At 50.8% G+C, this 24,516-nt stretch overlaps 1 protein-coding gene across 3 annotated transcripts in view; it reads right to left on the reverse strand.

Annotated features, from left to right (window-relative positions):
* The window catches only part of PEPD (peptidase D), a 134,842-nt gene that overhangs the window by 68,328 nt on the left and 41,998 nt on the right, over window positions 1-24,516 (reverse strand). For 2 of the 3 annotated variants that reach the window (NM_001166057.2, NM_000285.4), the window contains 3 exons: window positions 22,769-22,813; window positions 8,710-8,785; window positions 7,718-7,764 (listed from right to left, as the gene is read on the reverse strand). In NM_001166057.2, coding sequence (NP_001159529.1) covers window positions 7,718-7,764; window positions 8,710-8,785; window positions 22,769-22,813 — 168 coding nt within the window. The remainder of the gene's footprint in view (window positions 1-7,717; window positions 7,765-8,709; window positions 8,786-22,768; window positions 22,814-24,516) is intronic. The other variant, NM_001166056.2, reaches the window with a different exon arrangement.

Genomic DNA, 24,516 nt, shown 5'->3' on the forward strand with positions numbered 1-24,516 from the left:
TGTTCCTGTGACTTTTCCGTAATCCAAAACTATCCTAAAATAAAAAGTTTACTGATTAAACACACACGTGGAAAAGGCCAAGGGAGATGCTGAAAAGGCAGCTGATAAAATTCGACATCCTTTCCTGATAAAATCTAGTAAGCCAGGAAGACAATGCTACTTCCTTAAACTCGTGATAAATATTTATCTGAAATCAACAGTCAGCATCAGGTTTTTGGCTTTTTTTTCTCTTTTTTTTTTTAAGAGATGGAGTCTCACTCTGTCGCCCAGATGGGAGTGCAGTGGTGTGATCATAGCTAACTGCCGCCTTGGCTTCCTGGGCTCAAGCAATCCTCCTGCCTCAGCCTTCCAAGTAGCTGGGACTATAGGGGTGCGTCACCACACTCAGCTAATTAAAAACATTTTTTTTTTTTTTTTGTAGAGGCAGAGGTCTCCTATGTTGCCCAGGCTGGTCTTGAACTCCTGGCCTCAAGCAATCCTCCTGCCTTGGACTCCCAAAGTGCTGGGACTACAGGCATGAGTGTGTAATTACCATGCCTGGCAATATCAGGTTTAATGGTGAAACACTAGAGGAAAATCCATAAAGATGTCCACAGGGAGCACAGTTCCTTATGATTTCTAATATGATTCTCCAGGAGCAATGCGCCCAGCATTTGAAAAGACAATGCCTATTTATGTTAGTTTTGCCCCAAAATCTCTAGTCCTTCATCGACCAGGTTACACATTTGCAGAAAGCTCTTCTCTCTGGTTCTCTGTCCAGCTTTCTGGCTGGACACCAAGTTGGTTTTCTCCACATGCCCATTCCTCAGTTACTCCTAGAGGCAAAATGAGCCATCCCTGCTTTAAGCCACAGGGTCCCACAGCCTGACCCCGCTGAGAGCCCCAGTTTCATTCTCGGATCCCTGGCTCTGTCGAATCTCTGGTGGAGAGACTCTCCACACTCGCCTGTCCCCAACTCCCTCCCTCATGCCAAGTGGTGTAGACACAGCAGGATGGACGGGCACACAGGACCTGCCCTGCCAGCACAGGGTAGGCTCTGGACTAAGGAATTCTCCACCCAAGACAGCCCTGGCTCTTGGGAAGGGCTCAGCTTAAATCCCCCTAGGCATGGCCAGCCAGGGTGCAGGACTCAAGGACTGCCCTCCTAGGGCTTGGACACGCAGATGGTGTTTCCTGACTGCTCTCATGATAGGCTGGGGCCCGTCTCCAACAGCCAAGCAAGTGCTAGCAGCAAACCTACTCCAAGCCACCTGAGGCAAAGAGGGTGTTTCTCCAGCCCAGACCTGTGTCTGAAGGGGCCCTCTTCTCTGAATGGGCTGTGCCAGTGCCCTCACCCATCAACACAGCCTTCAGAGAAAGGATGTGTCTGCTCAGCGGGTGCAGGGTCCTGCCCACGGACACACAGCTGGTCCCCAGGGCCCATCACATCCATTCTTACCTGGGGGCTCCGGTCTCAGAGGCCGCCTGGACCCAGACTTGTTCCAAACAGTCCTCAAAACTGCAGCACCCTTTGTGGGGGTGGCTAAATGGATGGCAGTCTCACTGATGCCCACATTTGTCCAGGCTGAGAGCAGATTAGGTCAGACTGTGCCTGGATGATGGAGACTGCATCTCCAGGACCTCCCGGAGGAAGACGGGGACCTCCTAGTGACTTCCCTCTCCAGTGAAACCTGCGTCCTCTGCATGCCCTGTGAGGGGCCCCAGCCCTGGTCAGAGACACACAAGGTGTCTCACCATCCACCCAGAGTGCCCGGCAACACAGCCTCGTGTAGCCCCACACGGGAGGAGGACCATGTGGGCACAGGCATCCGAGATACAGTTCTTCAGGAGTCGCTGCACAGGAGGGACTCGGATGAAAAGCAGAGGGTGCCAGGCCGGGCATAGTGGCTTATGCCTAGAATCCCAGCACTGTGGGAGACCAAGGCAGCAGGAATGCTAGAGCTCTGGAGTTCTAGACCAGCCTGGGCAACAAGGCAAAACTCTATCTCTACGAAAAATAAAAAATTAGCTGGGCAAGGTAGTGAGCACCTGTGGTGCCAGTTATTTGGGGGGCTGAGGCGGGAGGATCACTTGAGCCCGGGAGGCAGAGATTGCAGCAAGCAGAGATCGCCCCAGAGGGGCGTCCTCTCTGCGGCCCCACGCCCCCTGCAGTCCTGAGCACTGTGGGCTGGCAGGGATGAGGGGGGCTGCCCACAGACTCTCCCACCTCCTGGCTGTCCTTACTGGAGTCAAAGTTTCTAGTCTTTTTTATTTACTTATTTTGAGATGGAGTCTCGCTCTGTTGCCCAGGCTGGAATGCAGAGGCTCACTGCAACCTCCACCTCCCAGGTTCAAGTGATTCTCCTGCCTCAGCCTCCCAAGTAGCTGGGACTACAGGCGCCCGACACCTAGCCCAGCTAATTTTTTGTATTTTTAGTAGAGACGCGGTTTCACCGCGTTAGCCAGGATGGTCTCGATCTCCTGACTTTGTGATCTGCCTGTCTCGGCCTCCCAAAGTGCTGGAATTACAGGCATGAGCCACCACACCCAACACCCAACCAGTTTCTAGTCTTAAAACAAGAAAACAAACAAACAAGCAAACAAAAAGAGAAAAAAATCTGTCCTGTTTAACAAGAATGCAGCAAGGATTTTGCAACCTGCTCCCAGGCTGGATTCACGGAGAGCTCCAACCCCGCCCCCAGCACCCTCGGCTCGGGTGGCTCTGTATGGGTTGGGGGGCGGGTATGTATGTGGTATGTCAATGGGTGTGGTACATACCGTGTATGTGAGGCATGTGGTGGGTGGCGTGTGTATGGTGTGTAGTGTGTGTATGGGGATGGTGGGTACATGTTGTGTGTGGTGTGTAGCATATGTGGTATGTATGGTGTGGTGTGTGCATATGGCTGTGGTGCATGTGTGTGGTGTGAATGTGTATGGCTGTGGTGTGTGCAGGGTATTGGTGTATGTGGTGTGTGGCTGTATGTGGCATGCGATGTGTGGTGTGTAGGTGAATGTGGCATCAGATGTGTGGTGAGTGTGGTGTGTAGGTGCATGTGGCATGCGATGTGTGGTGTGTGTGGTGTGTAGGTGCATGTGGCATGAGACGTGTGGTATGTAGGTGTGTGTGGCAAGTGATGTATGGTGTGTGTGGTGTGTATGGCGTGTCATATGTATGCAGTATGTGGTATATGTGTGGTGTGTGTATGGTATGTGGTATGTGGGGGTTGTGTGTGGAGGTGTGTATGTGTGGCGTACATGGCGCATGATGTGTATGTGTGGTGTGTGTGTGGTGTGGGGTGTGTGTGTGGTATGTGGAACGAGTGTGGTGTGTGTGTGGTGAGTATGGTGTGGGCGGTGTGTATGTGTGATGTGTGTGGCGTGTGTGTTGTGTGTGGTATGTGGCATGTGTGGTGTGTATGGTGGAGGTCTGTGGTGTGTGGTGTGTGGTATGTGGCATGTGTATGTGCTATGCAGCATGTGTGTTGTGTGAGGTGTACGTAGTGTGTATGGTATGTGTGGGGGTGTGTGAGGTGTGTGTGGTATAGGGCATGTGTGTGGTGTATGTGGAGTGCGCAGGATGTGTGGTATGTGGTGTGTATGGTGTGGCGTGTGTGTCATGTGTGTGGCATCTGGGGCATGTGTCTGGTTGGGGGAGACCCTCAGGTCGTGTCCCCTCTCCCCAGCCCATCTGTACTCGAGGGGCGCTGGGCACACAGAATCACAACTTGCTCCATGTGGCCAAAGAGTAAGAAAAGCACCAAGGCCTTGAATGAGAAGGAGCACAGCTGGGCAAGCCCCTCACTCACAAGGGACTGACGGGGACAGGAGCTGCGATTGAGGGCTGTCGCCTGTGGCAGGAGCGCCCAGAAAAGCCCAGGCCTGTGGAGAAGGGTCTCCAGTGGGTCTTGGCCTGGAAGGGGACGCCACCACACGGTACCCGTCACACTACACAGATCCTCTCCCTTTCCCATGATTCTCATGACCCCCCAGAAACAAAAGGGCCCCAAATGCCCCATTCACAGCTCAGAGAGAAAGAGCATAATTTCAATCAAGGTCTCAGGCTGTCATACACATCGCGTTATTAATCTCCTTGTGGCAAATGTGAGCTGGGACTCGCTTACACAGCCAATGGAGCATGCTCTAAATTAGCGTTTGCAGGTAATGGATCCGGCCGCCAGCCCCACGCCAGCTGGCTACAAGCTGGGTACGCCACTAACATGAAATAATAGGAGGCGGAAAAACGGATGGCCTGATTGGGCCTGCTGTTAGAGCCCAATTTACCCAACACGGACGTCTTATTGGTTTAACACAATTTACTACACCTCAATTGCGGAAAATGATTTTCATTCCTCTGAACCCTCAACTCCCAGGCGCCGCATGAGGGAGGAGTCTTCATAAATGCCATCCGCTCGCTCACTTTTTTTTTTTAACATGCCTTCAAGATTTTATAACAAATCATAGATAATAAAACAAAAACAGATGAGGCTTAGAACTGGAGGTCCAGGCCACCATCGCTTGAGTCCTGGGGTGGGTGGTGTGTCCACCTTCGAGAAAACCAGCCCTGACTCCTGCCCCGAGTCCTGAACTGCAGAGCTCCCTGCCTTCATGCCCAGTGTCCCTGTGCAAGGCTGAAGCCAGCCAGGCCCCCAGCAGAAAGTCCAGCAGGTCTTAAGGATGCCCACCTTGCTCACAGGGTGCTGTCAACACATATAGAAGAGCGGCTGGTTTCCTTTGAACCCAGTGAGTCAGCGATTCACACAGCAGTGCAGCTGCCCCCCAGCCTTCCCTGGTAGCAGTTGAGCCTGTGTTCAAAGAGGCACACCCCCGGGTAACCAAAAACACGGGCTTTAGAAGAGATTTTTATTCCCCGACTAGTTAAGAAAAGAATTCTCAAGTTCCCAGTGACACAGAAGATGGCAGAAAAATCACTTAAAACCTTTTCTTCTCTTTTCCACCCACATACATTTCCCGACACCTACAGTGGGTCAGACACCGCGCAGATAAATGAGACATGGTCCCCAAGAAGGCGCCTCCAGGCTCTCCAGGACAAGGACCACAAAACTGCATCACATAGTGATCCTGCCCTGGAGAGGGAGCTCGAGGCGGAAGAAGTGTCAGCCCACCTCCCTGGCTGCAGATGTCCCCAGGGGCTTCAACCTGGACACTGGCAATCGGGGCGCCTCCTCAAATCTGGCCAGGGATACTCCATGATGTGACACTTTCCCCAGACACCCATCTTCCCACCATCTTCAGAGGGGGTGACCCCTCTCTCCCAACTCGGTCCCCTCAGGAACAGCCTCCATCTCTTGTTCTTCCTGTCTCAGTCCCCGTACCCACCCCCCTGCTCTAAGCTCTCAGGGGCCCACAGATCAGATAGCTTCCCTGGTGGGCACGGTTTCCCCTCCCTATGTCCTGTGGCCTGCAGCAGGTGGGTGCACATGGCAGGTGCACAGCATGGGCAGCAGGTACACACGCTGACCCGATGCCACTCAGCACCCTGTGGGAGGCTGCTCCTGGCTGAGAGCTTCCCGGTGCACTCGGCTGTGGCCTCTGGCTTCGAGCTCATCTCTCCAAGAGCCACTCTGGTCCACGCAGGAGGCGGCAGCAAGGCCAACCCAGGGTCTTGGGATGGGGGTGGAGGGAAGGTGGAGCAGTTTGTAGACAGGGGTGACATCTCCCCAGAGCTCAGGTTCACGACACCCTGCTTCCAACAGCAGCCAAGTACAACATGTGGACTCTGTGTGGATCCTGACTTGAACAAACCAATGCTAAAAAGAGTTTAGGATCAATATGGACTAGATATTCATGACATGAAGGAGTTACGGTTCGTTTGTGATAATGAATGTGATATTGGCATGGTGGTTATGTAAAAGTAGAAAAAAGTTCTCACCAACTGGAATACCTACTGAGGTATTTACAGGTGCTATGACACGATGTCTAGGATTTGGCTTTAAAATGCTCTAGCAAACAAAACTAAACACAAAAACCTGGTGGGGACTTTGGGGTTCATTATACTTTTCTATTATTTTGGATACTGAAATTTCCTGTTTAAAAAAAAAAAAAGACCTCCATTACCTGGAAGGCATGAGGGCTAAGGAACGGCGGGTATTCCAGGTCCCCTGGCCCCTGACCCATAGCCCATGCAGCCCTGTCCCCAGGTTGGGCAGGGTCGGGCTCTGGGACGCTGTGGGGAGGGAGGCTCAGGGCCCCTCCCAGTAGCCACCTTGGGAGCAGGACTGCCTGCAGCACGGGGCTCAAGCAGCCAGCATGCAGAGGACGGCAGGGTTCCACACTGGGCTCAGCTATTCCTGCCCCAATTTCTCAGTTATTTTTATTTGAAGCATCAGCTATGGGTCACTGTGATTCAACTCAAGCTGGGACAGGTTTCCGGGGCAGTGCCAATCTGAGGGACCCACTGTCCAGCCCACCTCGCTGGAGGAGCCCCACAACACACTTCCCATCCCAGATCCTCGGAGCGGGCAGGGGGTCCTGGGAATGCTGGGCCACAGACACCGCACTGCAGAAGGAGACCACGCAGACGCAAGTGCTGGGATAGCTCTGCGAGCCCTTCTCAGCCTCCCCGGCTGACGGAGCTGGGCTTCTGATTAACGTGTGTTACACGGCCCCTCCCAGGATGCCAAGCACCTGGGTCAGGCCATTTTAACCTCCTCCTGGGCGGGGTAAGGAGAGAAGCACAGGCACTGACTGCTCAGAACTCCTTCCAGGGCAAGACCTTAAAAAGACACTCGTCCCCTAAGCACAGCCACAGCGAACTGAAGCATCCAAGCAGCCCACTACGGGCCCCATCCGACCTCGGCCCTGCACCCCACTGATGGCAGGCAGGCCAGCCTGGGAGGGTGATATGGAGCCAGCACCCCCAGGGCCGGGGCTCTGAACAGAGCAGGCCCTGAGGACATCTGGGGTGGACTTGGGCCCTGCAAGGGGGGTAAGGGATACCAGAAACCAAGCTCTCACAAGGACAGGCAGGAAAGGAAAGCCCAGAGTGAGGACATGGGGATGGCAGCCTCTTCAGTGTCACCTCCCCAGAGCTTCCAGGTGGTACCAACACTGGTGGGAGGTCTCGGAATGGGGGCCTCCTGCCCCAGGACACGGGTGGGAAGGGAGCCACTGAGGCAGTTTGGGTCTGACCCAAAGGTTTCCTTGTACCATGGGTGGCAGCACACTGACTTCTGGGTCCTGGAGCGGGGCTGAGCTGGCCAGGCCACACCCGCCACGGCTGGGCAGCCGCCGGAAGCTCCCCGGGTGCCACTGGCTCGCTGCAGCCCTAATAGGAGCAGAAGGCCAATGGAGCTCTCCAGAGCTCTTTATGGGCCATTTAACCATCCCTCAACCCAGTCGCCCGAGCACAGCAGACATAATGGCAGTGTTTACACATAAAAACGGCAAGCTGTTTTACTGGCGGCTTTCAGAGTCATAAGAGCAGCAATTTGGTAAAGTTTCCTGCAAATGGCAGAAACAAAGTCCGAGAGTAGAATGGTGGGGCACTAAACCACCCTGAAAAGTCATCGAAAACCATTACATCAAACACTCTGCCAAGAGCCAGGGAGGCGGGCGCAGTCAGAAGAAAAATAATCTTTGCTTGTGATCCTGAAGCCCTGTTCATAATCTCCGCTCACGGTGTGTGTGCCACTGCGGCGTCTCATCTGTTACTCACTCAGGGAACATAAATTACTGTTTTTTACCTTTTAATTTTACCCGGAGAAACATGGTGGCTTACCTTTCCAACTCATATTCTTTCATTCCCACTTTTACAGCCTTCATTACCTGGAGGACGGATATTAAGCAAAGACATTTGTATTAAGCAGATCAGTAACACAGCGTGATAAATAACATACAGCACTTCTTCAAAAGCACCTCTTCTTTAAAAAGGAAAAAAAGAATGATATGTGCATGCAGTGGTACAGACATGTGACAAATTAGAACTTTTTAAAAGCTCCAAAATCCATACAGTTTATTTAAACTGCTATGAAGCACTTCCATTTGGAAGCCGATAAATGCCATGCCTCAAGTTACAGCTCAGAGGCCACCAGCAGCCCGAGGACAGTGAGGATTTAACCACGAGGTGCTTGGTGAATACTTAATGCCACGAAAGCTATGACGATCACTAAAAGGCCTCCTTTGTTTAACTTTCATAAAACACGGAGAGCATTATCTCGTACAACAGAGTACGCTGCCCATCAATTACCCTTGTCTGTTTCCTAACACAAAACTGCAATGTTCCTGAGCAGACGGTGGGCCATCCTCATCTTTCAAGACATGTGTTTCCTTATTTGGTCTCATTCCTCCAGTAAAGCGGGAAGGTTTGGAAGAGAAATTTTCAGAAAATGGATGATGGTAATCAGTGTGTTTGAACCACAGTTAAGGACAAAAGATTCTTTAAAATGAGCTGAGAACTGCTGGGATATGAAGAAGGAGCACTCTACCCTCCCAGAATTGGGACTTTTTGTTGGATAATTTCCTGAGGATTAGTGTCCACGACTGCATGATGGGCAGGTGCCCTAAGCTGAGGAATTGGGGCAGAGCCCCTTCTGTCCCTGCCCTGTGCCCACCAGGGAACAGAAAAGAGAACAATCACTGTGTAAAACTTCCTACCTCTCACTTGGCCCTCAGGGATTAGAGCCCACCTGGAAACCCTTCATCCTCACGCAGTTCTCTCGCCACACAGCAACACTGCTTTCCCCACTCAACCAGAGCCGGTGCCTGACTTACCTCACGGTGGGCCTCGCTGGAGATTTTATTGGTATAGCGCAGAACCTCCAGCTCCATATCCGTCTTAAACACTCGGCTTCAGAGACAGAAGAACAAAGCAGCAAATCAGTGACTTTCAGGAGGCACTGGCTGGACCCCTCCAGGGAGAGCTCAGGGCCTACCACACCCTGCACAGCCCAGAAGGCGTGTTGTGCAAGGCCAGAGTGGGGCCACCAAGGCCCAGGAGTGACAAGCTCCATGGAACAGTCTAGAAGAAAACCTCTAGCAGGGAGCAGAGCTGCTGCCCACCTTCCCTAACACCAGCCAGCGGGCAGACTGTTTCCAGGGATAAGATCTGGAAGCCGCTGCGGTGGGAGAAGAAGCCTGGTTGCTGCAGCTTGTCACAGGCTGCCTCCCTCAACCTCAGTTTCCCCATGCATGGAAGGGGGATGAAATCTACATGGCATGGCTACTGGGCCATAATCCTAAGCCTGCTGCCTCCCAGGGCTCTGTCCTGTTGGCTGAAGAGGCCTCGTTTCCTCCCCACCCCCACCCACCTGCCCACGGGTGGGTGACAGGGTCAGGTGAAGGGACAGAAGCCATTCCAGTTTCGTGTGTGCTGGTACAAATGTGGAAACAGCTGGACAGCAGACACAGCAGGAGACCAGGAGCAGAGAAGAGGGAGGCAGCCACAGATGAGAGGGTGGTCTACGTGGGCAGGGGAGTCACAATCGAGGGACCCTGCTGTCCCTTCCTGGCTGGGCTGTGCCTCCTGCAACTGGACTCCTGAGGCTTCCAGGTCCTCCCAACAAACTTGTGTTAATTTGCCCAAATGTGGTTAGGTTTCTGGTGGTTGCAATCAATCTCACCCGCGAGTAAGACCCACAGAGAGGAGCCAAATAAGTATTCGTTTTCTACCTCCACCCATTTAAAAAAACCCTGGGTCCGCGGGCACAGAAAGGGCAGCCATGCTGAGGCATTCAGAGCACCGGCCTGGGAGAAAGGCCCTGGGCTCCAGTTCAGCTCCACCCCTTCCCAGCGGTGTGGCCAAGATCCCTACTCTGTGCCTCGGTTTCCCCATCTGAAAAACGGAGATATGAACACTGTTTTCATCATAGGTTTGCAGTGAGAACGGAGTTGGCATTTTTAAAGCACTAAGGACAGTGCCTGGCACACAGTAAGTGCTGTGTACACTTGTTCCAGAAACCAAGCGAAATGCAAAGCCTGCAGACACCACGTCATCCATACTTCCCACCCCAAAGCCAGGTGGAATGCTCTGATGTCCTTAGGTAGGACATCTTGATTCTCATCAAAACATTACTCCCCAGTATTCATGACAGGCCCACAAAGCTAGAGAAATCTCAGCAGGCAAACGCAGCTTCCCTTCACTTTAAATTGCCATTTACTGGGGACCCGCCGCATGGTGGGTCCTGTAAGTTGCAGTGGATGCTGGGTGCACTGCCCAACTCATCCCCTGAGGCCACACCCCTCTACTGGTCTCCTTGATTCGATGGAGGGAGCCAAGACTCAGCTCCCTCGCTTCAGCTGGGGACATCTCTGGGGGCCACTCCAGCACCAAAACTCCCCATGGGAGCAGCTGAGATGCCCTTGTGACAGCATCGCAGCCCAAGCCTGCTCCCTTACTCTGACACACACGCTGATCCTGAGAGCACTCCTCAATACGCTTCCTGCCTACTTGGCTCACAGACTCAGCTTCCCATGGAACCCAACCTAGAACAGGTACTACCTTCCCATTTTACAGATAGCGACACTGAGACTTAACTGAGACAATGTCAAAGAGCGCATGACCCACTCTGTTACACTCACCCCCTTTTTGTTGCACTCCATGCAAAAATTATAGAACCCTACACCCAGACAAACTACTAACCAAATACAGAAGGAAACTAGTCCTTTTTAGACATTCAAAAACTCAGAAATTGGGGAAGTACTTAAGGATGTACTCCAGCAGAGAGAGAAGGGTAGAAGGGTGGGGAGAGGGAGAAAGCACAAGCCAATAAAGAGAAGGAGGTGATATAATGGGATATTTTTAAAAACTGGAGTCAATCCAAAAGTATAATTAGACACTGGACAGCAAGCCTAGAAAGCAATCAGTAGAAATTAGAACTCCAAGTATGTGGCTCTGAGAAAAACATCCACAAAAAGAATGGCATGGATTCCTTTCTGCAGATAAAATCAATAGGAAGCTTAAAGCTCTTAGTGATATGGTGAAGAAGATATGTTTCTTCTCTCAATAAGAAAGACGAAAGGCAAATTAAAACTCTAGGAACAACAAAACAAAACAGATATATGTATGAAGGCTGCATTTATTCACATGGTACCAAAGTAACACCAGGTAGATTACTCTCCAGGTCAAGGGGGAAAATGTAACCCAGTGATCAGTCTTAGCATCACTGATTGTGGGTCAACTAAGTATAATTTGTGTCTGAATGCAGTGCAATAAGAAATACACATCACCTGGGATGTATTCTGGCAAATGTTTTAAACTTCTATGGCTTTAGATCTAACTTCCAGTTTGCAGGAAATATGGGGATAGAAGAACAAGCTAACCACCAACACAAGCGAACAACCATACAAATCCAGAATTGGGATGCTGTGGTACAACTGGTCCAGCCTTTCAGTATCTGGGGGGAAAACCATCACAATACCCAGGTAAGAGATAGAACTATATTGGCCACGTCCAGGATGTCTTATGGACAACTGGAGGAATTCCTGTTTATGTGAACTTTCTAACTTTCAGCAATGCATGTATATATGTTGCTTTTGTACTAATGAAAAAAAAAAAAGAAATAAAAATTTTTTTCTAATAAAAAAACCATTCTTTAAACAGAGAATAAACTAAAATATGGAGTGATTTTGTATAGCTGGTGGTTATATAAGAAAAACAGTCTAGGCCGGGCGCGGTGGCTCAAGCCTGTAATCCCAGCACTTTGGGAGGCCGAGGCGGGCAGATCACGAGGTCAGGAGATCAAGACTATCCTGGCTAACACGGTGAAACCCCATCTCTACTAAAAATACAAAAAATTAGCTGGGCATGGTGGCGGGCGCCTGTAGTCCCAGCTACTCGGGAGGCTGAGGCAGGAGAATGGTGTGAACCCAGGAGGCGGAGCTTGCAGTGAGCCGAGATCACGCCACTGCACTCCAGCCTGGGTGACAGAGCAAGACTCCGTCTCAAAAAAAAAAAAAAAGAAAGAAAGAAAGAAAAAGAAAAACAGTTTATGTGCTCTTGATGCTAGGAGCCTCCTCTTGAGGGAGGCCCTGGGCTTGTGACATCCGACCCAAAGAGAAGGCACTCCCGCCCTGATACATTCCTTAGTTCTGCATAGACCACGGTCACAGTCATCATAGAAACACAGTTTTATGGCTTTTTTTTTTAACCTTTTAGAGTTAATGTCTCCCCCAAACAGGTAAGATTTACTGCTCACATAAATGCAATGGAAATATTACAAACCCTAACAAGGAAACAGCAACAGAAGTCGGGAGGTAAAGACGGGTTGGAGAAAAGATGTGTAGAGAGAGCAGGGCCCCATCTGTGCAGCCTCAGCTCACCCAGGGCAAAGGCAAGATGGGGTGGAAAGTTCACGGAGCAAGAACTAAAGGAGGCTCAAATGTAGGACAAGAAGGCAAATGGAACCCATGGAAGAACCAGCAATAAACATATGATGAAAAGATGGGTGGAGGTGACAGAAATGGCCCAAAGAATTCGCTTTGGGGAGGGGTGGTGTGGAGAGAGATGAGCTGGCAGGAGTCGCTGGTTTCATGATAACCTAGCTTTCCCGTACTGATTTTGTACTAGTGGCTTTTTAAACCAAGGGTACATATTGCTTTGATAGCACTTTAAAAACCTTAATGAGGTGCTGTCCATAATGGTAAATGTCCATTCATTCATTTCACATCACTAATAAGTAAGTGTTAGCTGGATGTACCAGGCACCGGTGATGGAGTGGAGTGAAAGGGCCACGTCCTCCCCTAATGGAGCGCAGAGACCATGGAGAGACGGATACAGCGCGAGTAAACACACAATGATGGAGTGGAAGGAGGGCTGCTAAGAGCAGGAGCCGGGGTGCTATGTGAGGGAATGATGGAGAGGCACGAGCCCTTTCGGTTTGGGGCTGGCCACCCGGTGAGGGAGGTCTGTAATACTGAGAGACCTGGAGAATGGAGGTGGGCAACCCAGCTGAGTCCCTCTGCACAAGGCAGAGAGTTCCCGGTGCACCCCCTGGCCAGCTCCTTTTCCTTTACTAAAGATGACTTACCTGCACCAAAGCTCCCAAAGGCCCACCCGTGACTCTCACAAAGGTATCAATGCAAACACTCTCAAGATCAGCAAAGCTGGAGTGTCTGAGGATGCAGACCAGCACCCACCCCTCTGTTGGGAGCAAAGCTGGGGTGTCTGAGGACGCAGACCAGCACTCGCTCCTCTGTCAAAGGGCACCTCTCCTGCATCTCCTCTTCCTCCTCCTCGGCCTGGCCAAGAGCCCACCTGAGCTGGCCTCCATCGAGGCAGCCCAGACAGAGGCCCCGAGGCAGGCGAGGATGGCGGGAATGCGAGGGGCCTGGTGGCTCCCCCACTCCCATCAGAGGCAGCAAGCCCTTGGGAACTTCAAGGGAGCAGCCCATGCCAGCCAGCCGCTGACTCACACGGTCTCCGTGACGCTGCACAGCTGGGACAGCCAGCCATTTGTCACTGGGAAACGAGGCGGGCACCCTGCAGCGCAGCGACACCTTCCCGAGACCACAGAACCTTCTGGGGAATGTGGAAAAAACAAACCCACAAGCCCAGGGAGACTTTCTCGAATGAACGCCCTTTCTCTCGGCGGAGGCAGCCCTAAAGCCTGACAGCATGCTGTTAATCATCATGAAGGTGTCTCTGATGCCGCCGTATGGCGGGTGCAGTCCCATTATCTGGGACCAGGCACTTGCTCCTGTCCCCAGAGGGTGACAGTTCAGAGCCATGGGCAGGACAGGGGCCAGCAGCTCAGGCTCCCGAGGTCCGAACCCACTTGTGGTCCCTCAGGTGTCATTCCCACTGCCACCCTCTATGACGCCAGCCCGGGGAACCCGCTGTCAGGGAGCAGGTCTCTCTTCTCTCAAATGCAGTGATGATCACTGGGTGACAGCATGGGTGAGGGCCAGGATCTCCCGCCCTCCAACCCCTTACTTTCTCCTGGAGCCGCCCTCTGCCTTCATTCGGCTTAGATCCCTGGCCCTTCTCTATGGCCACTACTGTTGCCAGTGCTGTAGACTCCTCAGCCCTGTGCCCACCCATCCCCACAGGCTCGGCCTGTGCCTGCTCCAGGAGCACTGAGCACTGCCAGGGGAAGTCATGCACTGGCAATGGCCAAGCAAGCCCCAGTCACCTCAGCGAGGCCCCAGCTCTGCCGTGAGCTGCAGGGGAACCCGCAGGAGGGCTATTCTCAACTTCCCGCACCTTCCGAAGATATCTACCCCCAACTTCTGCCCCCCACGGGAGCCGCCACAGATGAATGAATTCCACTCCTACTTCTTGGAGCGCGCAGCAGCCAGCAGATGGGTCCACTCTCACCTCTCCTCCTCCAAACTCCCAGGACTCCCCATCTGTCCTCTCCTCCCTCCCTTTTAAGGGAAGGTGCATCCTCTTCCCAAGCTCACACGCCCACCTGGGGATCCCAGCTCCAACCTCCACCAGCTCCTGCTAGAAGCTCCATGGCCACCGAAACAGCTTCCTCTACAAGTGAAGAATCCTCCCCTCACTTGCCTCCTTCTCCTCTTCCAGTCAAGCCTCCCCTACGCTGCCTGCCAGGCCCTAACCGTCCTTGCCTTGGGGGAGGAGGGAAAGCAGCTTTTGCGTTCTATTTTGAACTTCCTCCCCATCTCCTCCCCTCTCCTCTCCCCTCTTTGCTTCTCTCTTCACCCCCATCATGCTGCCAGCCCTCCCCTCCCCTTCTCGCAGAAGGCGTGGTTCCCTCTGCCTCTCCCTGCTTTCCCTCTGCACCCACCTGTGGGTCCTGGGTGCCCTGGAGCTCAGTGTGCGAGAACCCCCACCGTGCCCCCATCTCAATGAGGCTCTGCCATCTTCCTGCTGCTTCAGCAGAGACCCGGGCGTCATCCTAGACGCCCTCTCCCATCACATCCATCCGCTGCTTCCCACATCCAATTCACGGCCAAGGGCTGCCACTCCCCCTCCACGACCTCCCTCAGGCCCCCCCATTTCTCTCTATCCAGCCCCAGCCTCTCTGGCCTGGACAAGCCCTCCAGCCTCTAGGCCTCCAGCCCACCTGCCCTGATAGCAGCTGGGGATCTTTAGGAAATGCAAACCTTATCAGGCTTCCCCTCGTTTCCAGTGGCCTTTAGGTTTCCAGTGGCCTCAGGATGAAGGTAAACCTCTAGTAGAGCACAACTCACGTAGGTGCAGGCCATCTCCACCACTCACCCCATGTGCTCTCCCAGCCTCCTCCCTCCTCTGCCTGGAACTTGTTCCTGCCCACCTCTAGCACCCACCCGAAACACACTTTTCTAGGGGTCGGAGACGACCCCCTTCTACCCTCCCACCCTGGGCTAAATCCCTTCTCTGTGTTCCCTGGGTAGTCTAGACGAATCCTCAGAAACCTCTAACACTTAGAATTCTTTTAATTTAAGTCTCTTCTGAAAGGCCATATATAGTCCTGGAAGACAGGGTCCCAGCACCGGCACAGACACACAGTAACTATGTGTCATCAAAGCTACCTGTCCTTCCACCGAAGCCAGACAACAGCTCATTTCCAACAAGGAGAGCTGATGGCCTCATTTCAAAGAGAAAAGGAGGCCTCTCCACCCAACCTTCCCCACCCCATGGCAGCATGGGATGTTGCCAAACCGGGCACAGCAGGGGCAAAGCCTCCTCAGGCTCCAGCAGCCCAAAATCCCTCTGCCACTGCCTCGTCCCAGTCCCACAGGTAGGAAGAGCAGCCCAGGGTGGACCACAGGAGCCCACACTCCCAGGCTCTCCACTCTGCCTCCCACTGCAGCTGGGGCATCCTCCTATGGTGATGAGCAGGAAGAGGTCGTAATCTGCCAAAGGAGAAAGGACCACATCCTCCTCCCAGCAGAGGTGATAATCATCTCTGCCATCGAGGCCCAGGGACCTACTTGCTTTTCTAATCTTACTTTGGGGGAAGTGGAAAAAAAAAATCAAACTGAACCAGGGCAAATTATTCTACAAAGGCAGTTCTCTGATGAAACCAGCCTGGCTGGGCTTTGGCCTGGCCCAATTGAATCTATGCTTAAATAGACGTCTGCTGTGTGCTGGCTTAACCAATTATCCGTAGGGCACTCTGGGCCTGAAGTCTCACCCAGGCGCCAGGCATAGAGGGATGCACCCCAGCCTGGCCTGGTTATCTCACAGCACAAACACCAGAAACTGTTTTTAAGATAACTGTAGAAAAGAACAGGATTTTCCAGCATTCCGCGCAGTTTCTCCCTGTCTTCAGGAGGAATGCACCACCCTGAATATGATGAGCCCATTTCCAGTGTTCTTGAGCATGAACAGATGAGGACAAAAGGGTGCCCCAGCCTCCGTGGGTCCACCGGCCCCTGGAGTGAGAGATGCATGGTCACACTCAGTCCCAGCCTTGTCTGCCCCAGGGGATGTGTGGGGTGGTTGTTAGAAGTATGATCTACAAGGCTGACAGCCCCATGAGAGGACAAAGGCCACCTCCTCCAGGAAGCAACAGAGAATCATGGCTCAGGACAGGATGACAAAGATGCCACCTAAGAAGTTTGAGCAGGCCAGGCATGGTGGCTCTCACTTGTAATCCCGGCACCTTGGGAGGCCAAGGCTAGAGGATCTAAGGCCAAGGCTGAGCACAGGAATTCGAGGCCAGCCTGGGCATCACAGTGATAACCTGTGTCTACAAAACATTTAAAAATCAGCCAGATGGCCAGGCACAGTGGCTCATGCCTGTAATCCCGGCACTTTGGGAGGCCGAGGCAGGTGGATCACCTGAGGTCGGAAGTTCAAGACCAGCCTGACCAACATGCAGGAACCCCGTCTCTACTAAAAATACAAAAGTAGCCGGGCATGGTGGCACATGCCTGTAATCCCAGCTACTCGGGAGGCTGAGGCAGAAGAGTCGCTTGAACCTGGGAGGCGGAAGTTGCAGTGAGCCAAGATTGAGCCATTGCACTCCAGCCTGGGCAACAAGAACAAAACTCCATCTCAAAAAAAAAAAAAAAAATCAGCTAGGCATGGGAGTGTGCACCTGTAGTCTCAGCTACTCGGGAGGCTGAGGCGGGAGGATGACCTGAGCCTGGGAGTCCGAGGTTGTAGTGAGCCATGATTACAACACTGCATTCCAGCCTGGGCAAGAGCATAAGACCCTGTCTCTAAAAAGAGAACTTGGGGCAGAAGTCAGCTCAGGCTCTTTGGCCAGGAAAAAACGTGCCAGGAAATGTGGGCACTGCACAGCCTCACAGAGAGTCCCCAGCTCATGGCCACGCTGTGGGCATCAACATGCCTGGAGGCTGCTCAAACAGACAGGGAGGCTGGGAGGCAAAGTCTCCTACCCCATGTAGGCCTACTCTCCTGCTACAGACCAAAAATCACAAAAAGTAGATGAGGCAAAGATGTACTTGTGCAACCTTATTTTTTTCCTTAAACATTCACAAGTCACAGCACTGCCTCTGAGCATTAAACCCTGAATTAAGATATCAATTAACTGAGATCTAAACACTCCACTGATTAAAATAGTAGTGAGACAAGGATGAAGGATTTCCAAAATCAGCCTCTAAGCATCAAAGTGGCACCGTGTTGAACAAAACTCATTTAAAGGGCCAGGAATTCCATCTCTCCTGGAGATGGATGTGCAGGGAATGATTCTATTGGAGCCAGGTGGGCGGGAATTCAACACCACTGAACCCGCAACAACTATCCCTCCCACACTCCATGACCCAGTGATGCAAAGGATAAAATCCCACAAGGGGAAGGACAGAAAGAAAAGAGCTGGTTGGAATTACATATCCTCTGGGGAATCAATCAATAAGTCCTCTCCAAGAAACCAAAGCCATGAAGAAAATGATGGTTTAGCTCAGCTGCGAGCTGAGTGTGCCTGAAACCTAGCCAGGGACGGGCAGACGTGGGGCAGAGGTCCACCTCCACGCTGGACCAGGGCCTGGCCACGCCTTTCCTTCTGTCTGATGCTCCCACATCCATCTCCTGCCTCCTGGCGCGCAGTGACTCAAGTTCTCACTCTCCCCTAGGAGTCCCACTTCCCATGTGGCTTTCTTGCTGGCGTAGGGTTAAATGCCTATTCATGAGGACACAAAGATGAGCAATGCTACTGGAATCCTTTTCACAGACACACCGAGAATTTAGGTCATCATCTACGTATCTTTTCTAATTTGGGACATGTTACCCAGGATGTAGAATCCTGGGACACGTCTACCTGTGAACCAACCACAGCTTCCCATCTCCTGTGCACACAGAGAGGCCGGGGAGCAGAAATAGACATGTTACCCACCGCCTGATTAATGCATGCAGGACACTTTTCGTTCTGTGTAATTAACAGCTCTAAAACCGGCAGATGACTCAATTTAACACAGTCTCGCTTAAAACCCAAGAAGGCACACGGCAATTGCTGACACGCCTGCTCTCCCCTGACGCTTCCAGAGGTACTTAACCGAAACCCAAGGCACTGAGCTATCAGGTGGTATGAAAGCATCTCCTTTTATTTCCCACCTTGCCTTCAGATCAATTTAATCATCTGCAAAACAGTAAAGCAGAACCACAGCCTAAATTATGGAAGTAAGATGCCTGCTCTTTTGAAGTTTCAACTTTTGACCTTCACATTCAAACTGCACTACCCAGCACAAGAAAAGAAATTATCCAGTTATGATCTCATGTTTGTGGGGAAGAGTATGATTATAGAGGAATTTACAGGCAATCAAAAAGGCGCTCCTTGAGAGAATGGAAAACAATAAAACAGTCACAGGAAGGAAATGAATGACAGCCGAACAAAAATGAGAAAGCGAGTTTGCCTGTGCTAGGAGAGGCTGCTTGCTGCCTTCCAATCAAGACAGGCTCCTGAGGAACCCTGTGTCCCCAGCCAAGCTGCTAGCAGAAGCTGGGGTGCATGTGGGTGCCAAGGAAGCCAAGCATCTGCCCCCTGGTTCTCCACCCTACTATACCCTGGCCCCAGCACAAGACCATTCCAAGGGTGCTGGACCGTACGTTCAGTGGGACCAGCAGTGAGCTGGGAGGATGACTGACACTCAGGCAGCCCCACTCCACGGGTGCCCCCTCAGAGCTGCAAGGAGCAGTGCAAGAGCCTGGGATCAACAGTCTGGGCTCAACTGGCATTTTCTTGGGCAAGTCACTAACTTCCCTGTACCTCAGTTTCTTCATCTGTAGCATGGAAATAACTAGAACACTTACCTAATACACCACAAATATCTTTAAATACAGTGACATGTGTTAAGTGCTTAGCACAACACCTTGTACACATGGAGTCTCAACAGGTGACAGTCAGTGTTATCAAGATGTGCCAGGCTGCAGCCTGGCTAACATGATGAAACCCCATCTCTACTAAAAATGCAAAAAGTAGCCGGGCATGGTGGTGCGCACCTGTAGTGGGGAGGCGGGGGCTGAGGCACAAGAATCACGTGAACCCGGGAGGCGGAGGTTGCAGTGAGCCAAGATCATGCCATTGTACTCCAGCCTGGGTGACAGAGCAAGACTTCATCTCAAAAAAAAAGTGCCAGGCTGGGTGCGGTGGCTCACGCCTATAATCCCAACACTTTGGGAGGCTGAGGTAGGAGGATCTCTTAAGGCCAGGAGTTCGAGGCCAGCCTGGGCAACACAGGAGACCCCATCTCTACAAAAAACAGAAAAATTAGCTGGATGTGGTGGCGTGTACCTGGAGTCACAGCTACTTGGAAGGCTGAGGTGGGAGGATCGCCTGAGCCCAGGAGGTCAAGGCTGCAGCAAGCTACGATCATGCCACTGTACTCCAGCCTGAGAGACAAAGTGAGATCCTGTCTCTTAAAAAAAAAAAAAAAAAGACATGCCAGTCCTTCACTTATACTCTCATTCAATCTTTGAGCCTACTTTGCAGGTGAGGAAACTGAGGCTGGGTGAATCTTCACATCCGTACCATGAGTTAGGTTTCACCACATCTCCGTTTTACAGATCAAGAAGCTGAGGCTCAGAAAAGTCAAGTGACTTCCTGAGCAGGGAGGAGATAGGGCTAGAATTCACATGTGCCCGAGTTGATGGTTTCCTGTTATCCCCATAACCCTCCCACAGAGAGAGGGTGGTGAAGGCATTCAAGACCTAAGGGCAAAAGATGAGTCCCTGAGTCGTAATCTAACATCATGGAAAGCCCACCCATTCCTGTTAATAAAGGACCCGCCCGCTGCCCCACACAGCATCCTTCCTTCAGTGCCCCAGGGAGTGTGATGATCATGACTACAGTGGACCCACCGAGAGTGACTGGGACCCAGGCTATTAAAACATACCCCTGAGCAGCAGGGACAATGTGACATTTCTAAAATGGTTCTACTGCCATCAACTTTCTGCTGCTTGCTTTAATAAAGTTGGGAGGTATGCTTAGGAACGCGGGCTCGACCTCAAAGCCTCGAAAATGTCACTTGAATTAAAGCATGCTTCTTTGAAAGTGACGAATTAATGACTTATCCCTTAGGAGATGGCAGGAGTACAGGACCCAGCCATGGTCTCCAAGGCACCCAAGCTGTAAGTGACCACAAGGGAATGTCCCATGTGAGGCAGTATAAGTGGACATGGCCCATTCTAAGTACCCAGGATTTATTCTTCTGCCAAATGGGGGCTACAGATAGGACAGGCTCTCTGGTTTCTCTTCAGATCCTATGAATCATTTGCCTTTTACGGACAAGTCAGGCATTTGTTACTTTATTTTTTTGAGACAAGGTCTCGCTCTGTCACTCAGGCTGGAGTATGGTAGCATAATCATGGCTCACTGCAGCCTCGACCTCCTGGGCTCAAGCGATCCTCCTGCCTCAGCCTCCCAAGAAGCTAGGACTATAGGAGTCCAATGCCGTGTTAGGCTAATTTTTTAAAATTTTGTTTTTGTAGAGATGGGATCTCTCTATGTTGCTCAGGCTGGTCTCAAACTCCCGGCCTCAAGTGATTCTCTCGTGTTTGTCTCCCAAAGTGCTGGGATTACAGGCGTGAGCCACCAGCTTGGCTTTGTTACTTTATAAAAACAAGAGGTGGCTGTGAACTTGAAGAACACCAGCCCTGTCTTCACAGAGTGTGGCTGTGAGGGGCGTCGGACCCACTGGCCTCTAACCCCGAGGGTCAGTATTAGCGCCTGTCATCGGCCCTCAGTTCTCCACCCCCAGCTCAGCCCTCTCTCCCACTGGCACCTACCTCAGACTCAACACACCCCAAGTCCCAGATCTGCCCCGGTATCTGGCCCTCCCAGTTGTCCCCATCTCAGTGACACACCACCTAGCTATGCGGGACAAAAACCTGGAGTCACCTTCAACTCTGCCCTTCACTCACGCATCATAACCGGTCCCTCCCAGGAGCTTTCCCTCTTGACTGCGGCTTCACCACTCAGATCTGTCCTGCCACAGCCCTCCACTGCCAGCTGGACCCCTGCAACAGCCTCCTAACTTGCCACCTGTTCCCACACTTGCCCTACAGCTGGGTCTCTAGTCTGAGGCCAAAATGATTTCTTATTTTTTATTTTATTTTTTTTGAGACAGAGTCTTGCTCTGTCGCCCAGGCTGGAGTACAGTGGCGTGATCTCAGCTCACTGCAACCTCCGCTTCCCAGGTTCACACCATTCTCCTGCCTCAGTCTCCCTAAGAGCTGGGACTACAGGTGCCCGCCACCATGCCCTGCTAATTTTTGGTATTTTTAGTAGAGACGGGGTTTCACTGTGTTAGCCAGGATGGTCTCGATCTCCTGACCTCATGATCCACCCACCTCGGCCTCCCAAAGTGCTGGGATTATAGGCCTGAGCCACCTCACCCGGCTCGAAATGATTTTTTAAATGCAAACCCAATTCTACCATTCTCCTGCTTAAACCCTTCAAGGGTTTCCTGTGTTTCCCATTCCTCTCAAGAAAAAGTCAAAACGGACACCAAGGCCCACCCAGCCACTGCCTGTCTCTCCAACTGTTCTCGGGCTCTGCTCCCTGGCTCCGCACTGGCCACACAGAGCCACCACCCTTTCTCTTGTTTCTGTGAACGAGTGGTCCTTTTGCCAGGGTCACTCTCTCCTACTCCTTCTTTTTCCACAGCCGATGCCCATTCATCTTTCAGGATACCTCCTTGGTCCCAAGCTCTAAGACGAGGCGAGTCAGAGCTCCCAGCTAGACAGGAAAGAAAATGTGATCATACAGACTTAGGGTCATATGTGAGAAGGCTACACATCTCCTTGGCAAGTGATGATGTGGCAAAGGCCTGGCCTTGCCTCTCTTCTACATTCTCAGTACGTGCAGCCATCCATCAAAGAAAAAATGCCTTGCTGCTGTCAAAGAGCAATGCGATGGCTTAGGAAGAAAACTGGTGGCACACTGGGATGCGAGGGCCACCTCCAGGGCCCACAGAGGTGGCGCCCAGCATAAGACAGCTCACTTTGTAGGCAGCTAGTAGAAGCCAGTTGTGCAGCAGGTAAGGGCTAACAGTATCACCATGGGAAGGAAGAAGGTGACAGAAGAATGCGTAGAACAGAATGCCACCTTTGTCAAGACACATGCGTGACATGTTTACCTTTCTGGCAATGGGATTATGTGTTATGTTTATTTCTGCCCTTTTCACCATCTACCTCGTGCTGGAGCTATCTAAGTTTGGTTTACTTATGGTAGGAGTTTTTGTAAGATTGCAAATAAGGGAAATAAGTTTAACTGATGTTTAAGTGACTCACGTCCTTTCAAAAAAAGTACGGCCAGTCAACCAACAACAAAGAACAAGCAAAACAGAAAAGGCTATGGGAGAAGGTTCTGGGAATCTGCTTTCTGAGGGGCTCTCTGAGACGGTGTGGGCAGGAACAACAGGGCATTCCATCCCCATGAGCCGAGCACAACAAACAGGCAAGGTGACCACAGGCCGTACTCACCACTCAACGATCTCTGGGTGAAGAATGGTATTGTTGACTTCGAACCTGTAGGGCGAAAAGAAATCAAGCCCATTAATCCAACGGTCTGTCATGTCCCAGCAAGAACTACCTCATTCAAGACATGCACACGTGATGCATTAAAGAGGGTCCCACACTTTAATTTCATGACTTCCTGACCCACAAAAGGCCTGTTGATCCCTTCCTTCAGCAGACCTGGCAGCCTGGGCCATGTCCTCCAAATGCAGTCAGTTGGAGAGCAAGCTTTATGGCTACAAAACACCAGCCCTGATCCCCACTAGGCAGACAGCATAGTCTCTTGTGTCAAGTATATCAAAATACACACAATAGGAGTACCAGAAGGAAAGAATGCAGAGAAAGCAAAAACCTCACCAATTTGATGAAAAACATTAATCTACATATCCATAAAGCTCCATGAACTCCAAGTAGGATAAATTCAAAGATATCCACACCTAGACACATGATAATCAAACTGTCAAAAAAGTATCTTGAAAGCAGCAAGAGAAAAGTATTAATAATTCATCACTTACAAGGGATCCTCAATTAGATTATTAGCTGATTTCTCATCAAAACCTATGGTGGAGAGAAGGCAGTGGGATGACATTTAAAGTGCTGAAAGATTAAAAAAAAAAGTCCACCAAGAATTCCATATCCAGCAAAGCCATTATTAATAAATGAGGGAGAACTACAACATCCCAGATAAGCAAAACCCAAGAGAATTTATTACTAGCAGACCTACCCTGAAAGAAAAACCAAAGGGAATTGTTTCAAATAAAATGAAAAGGTACTGCAGAGTAACCTGAATCCACGTGAAGAGAAAGAGAGCACTGGCAATGGTAACCATACAGATAAATATAAAGACAGTATAAATGTATTTTTTGTTTGTAACTCCTTTTCTCTCCTGACTTAAAAGACAACTGAATAAAGCGATAATTGTAAATCTGTATTGATAAGTACAAAATGAATAAAGACGCAATCCACATGCCATAACAGCACAAAAGAGAATGAGGAAAAGGAGACATATAGGGGCAAGCTTTTGCATGCTATTTAAATTAAGCTGACATTAATGCAAACTAGATTTTCAAGTTTAAGTAGTCAATTGTAATCCCCATAATCATTAAGAAAACAGCTAAAACATACAGAAAAGGAAATGAGAAACCAAAATGTGACAATAAAAAAAAAATCAAACACAAAAAAATGTAATGGAGAAAGTGAGGAACAAAAATGTTATAAGACATATAGAAAACTAATTTTAAAATGGTAGAGTTTTTCCTTATCAATAATTACTTTAGATGTAAATGGATTAAATTCTCCAATTACAAGGCAAGGATTGGCGAATGAATTCTTTTTTTTTTTTTAATTTTAAGTTCAGGGGTACATGTGCAGGTTTCTTACATAGGTAAACTTGTGTAATGGGGCTTTGTTGTACAGATTATTCTGCCACCTAGGTATTAAGTCTAGTGCCCATTAGTTATTTTGCTATTTTTCCTGATCCTCTTCCTCCTCCCACCCTCCACCTTCCAATAGGCCCCAGTGTGTGTTGTCGCCCTCTATGTGTCCATGTGTTCTCATCATTTAGCTCCCACTTGTAAGTGAGAACATGTGGCATTTGGTTTTCTGTTCCTGCATTAGTTTGCTGAGGATAACAGCCTCCAGCTCCATCCATGTTCTTGCAAAGGACATGATCTCATTCTTTTTTATGGTTGCATAGTATTCCATGGTGCATACCA

This window comes from Homo sapiens, chromosome 19, assembly GCF_000001405.40.
Source record: "Homo sapiens chromosome 19, GRCh38.p14 Primary Assembly".
NCBI lineage: Eukaryota > Metazoa > Chordata > Mammalia > Primates > Hominidae > Homo > Homo sapiens.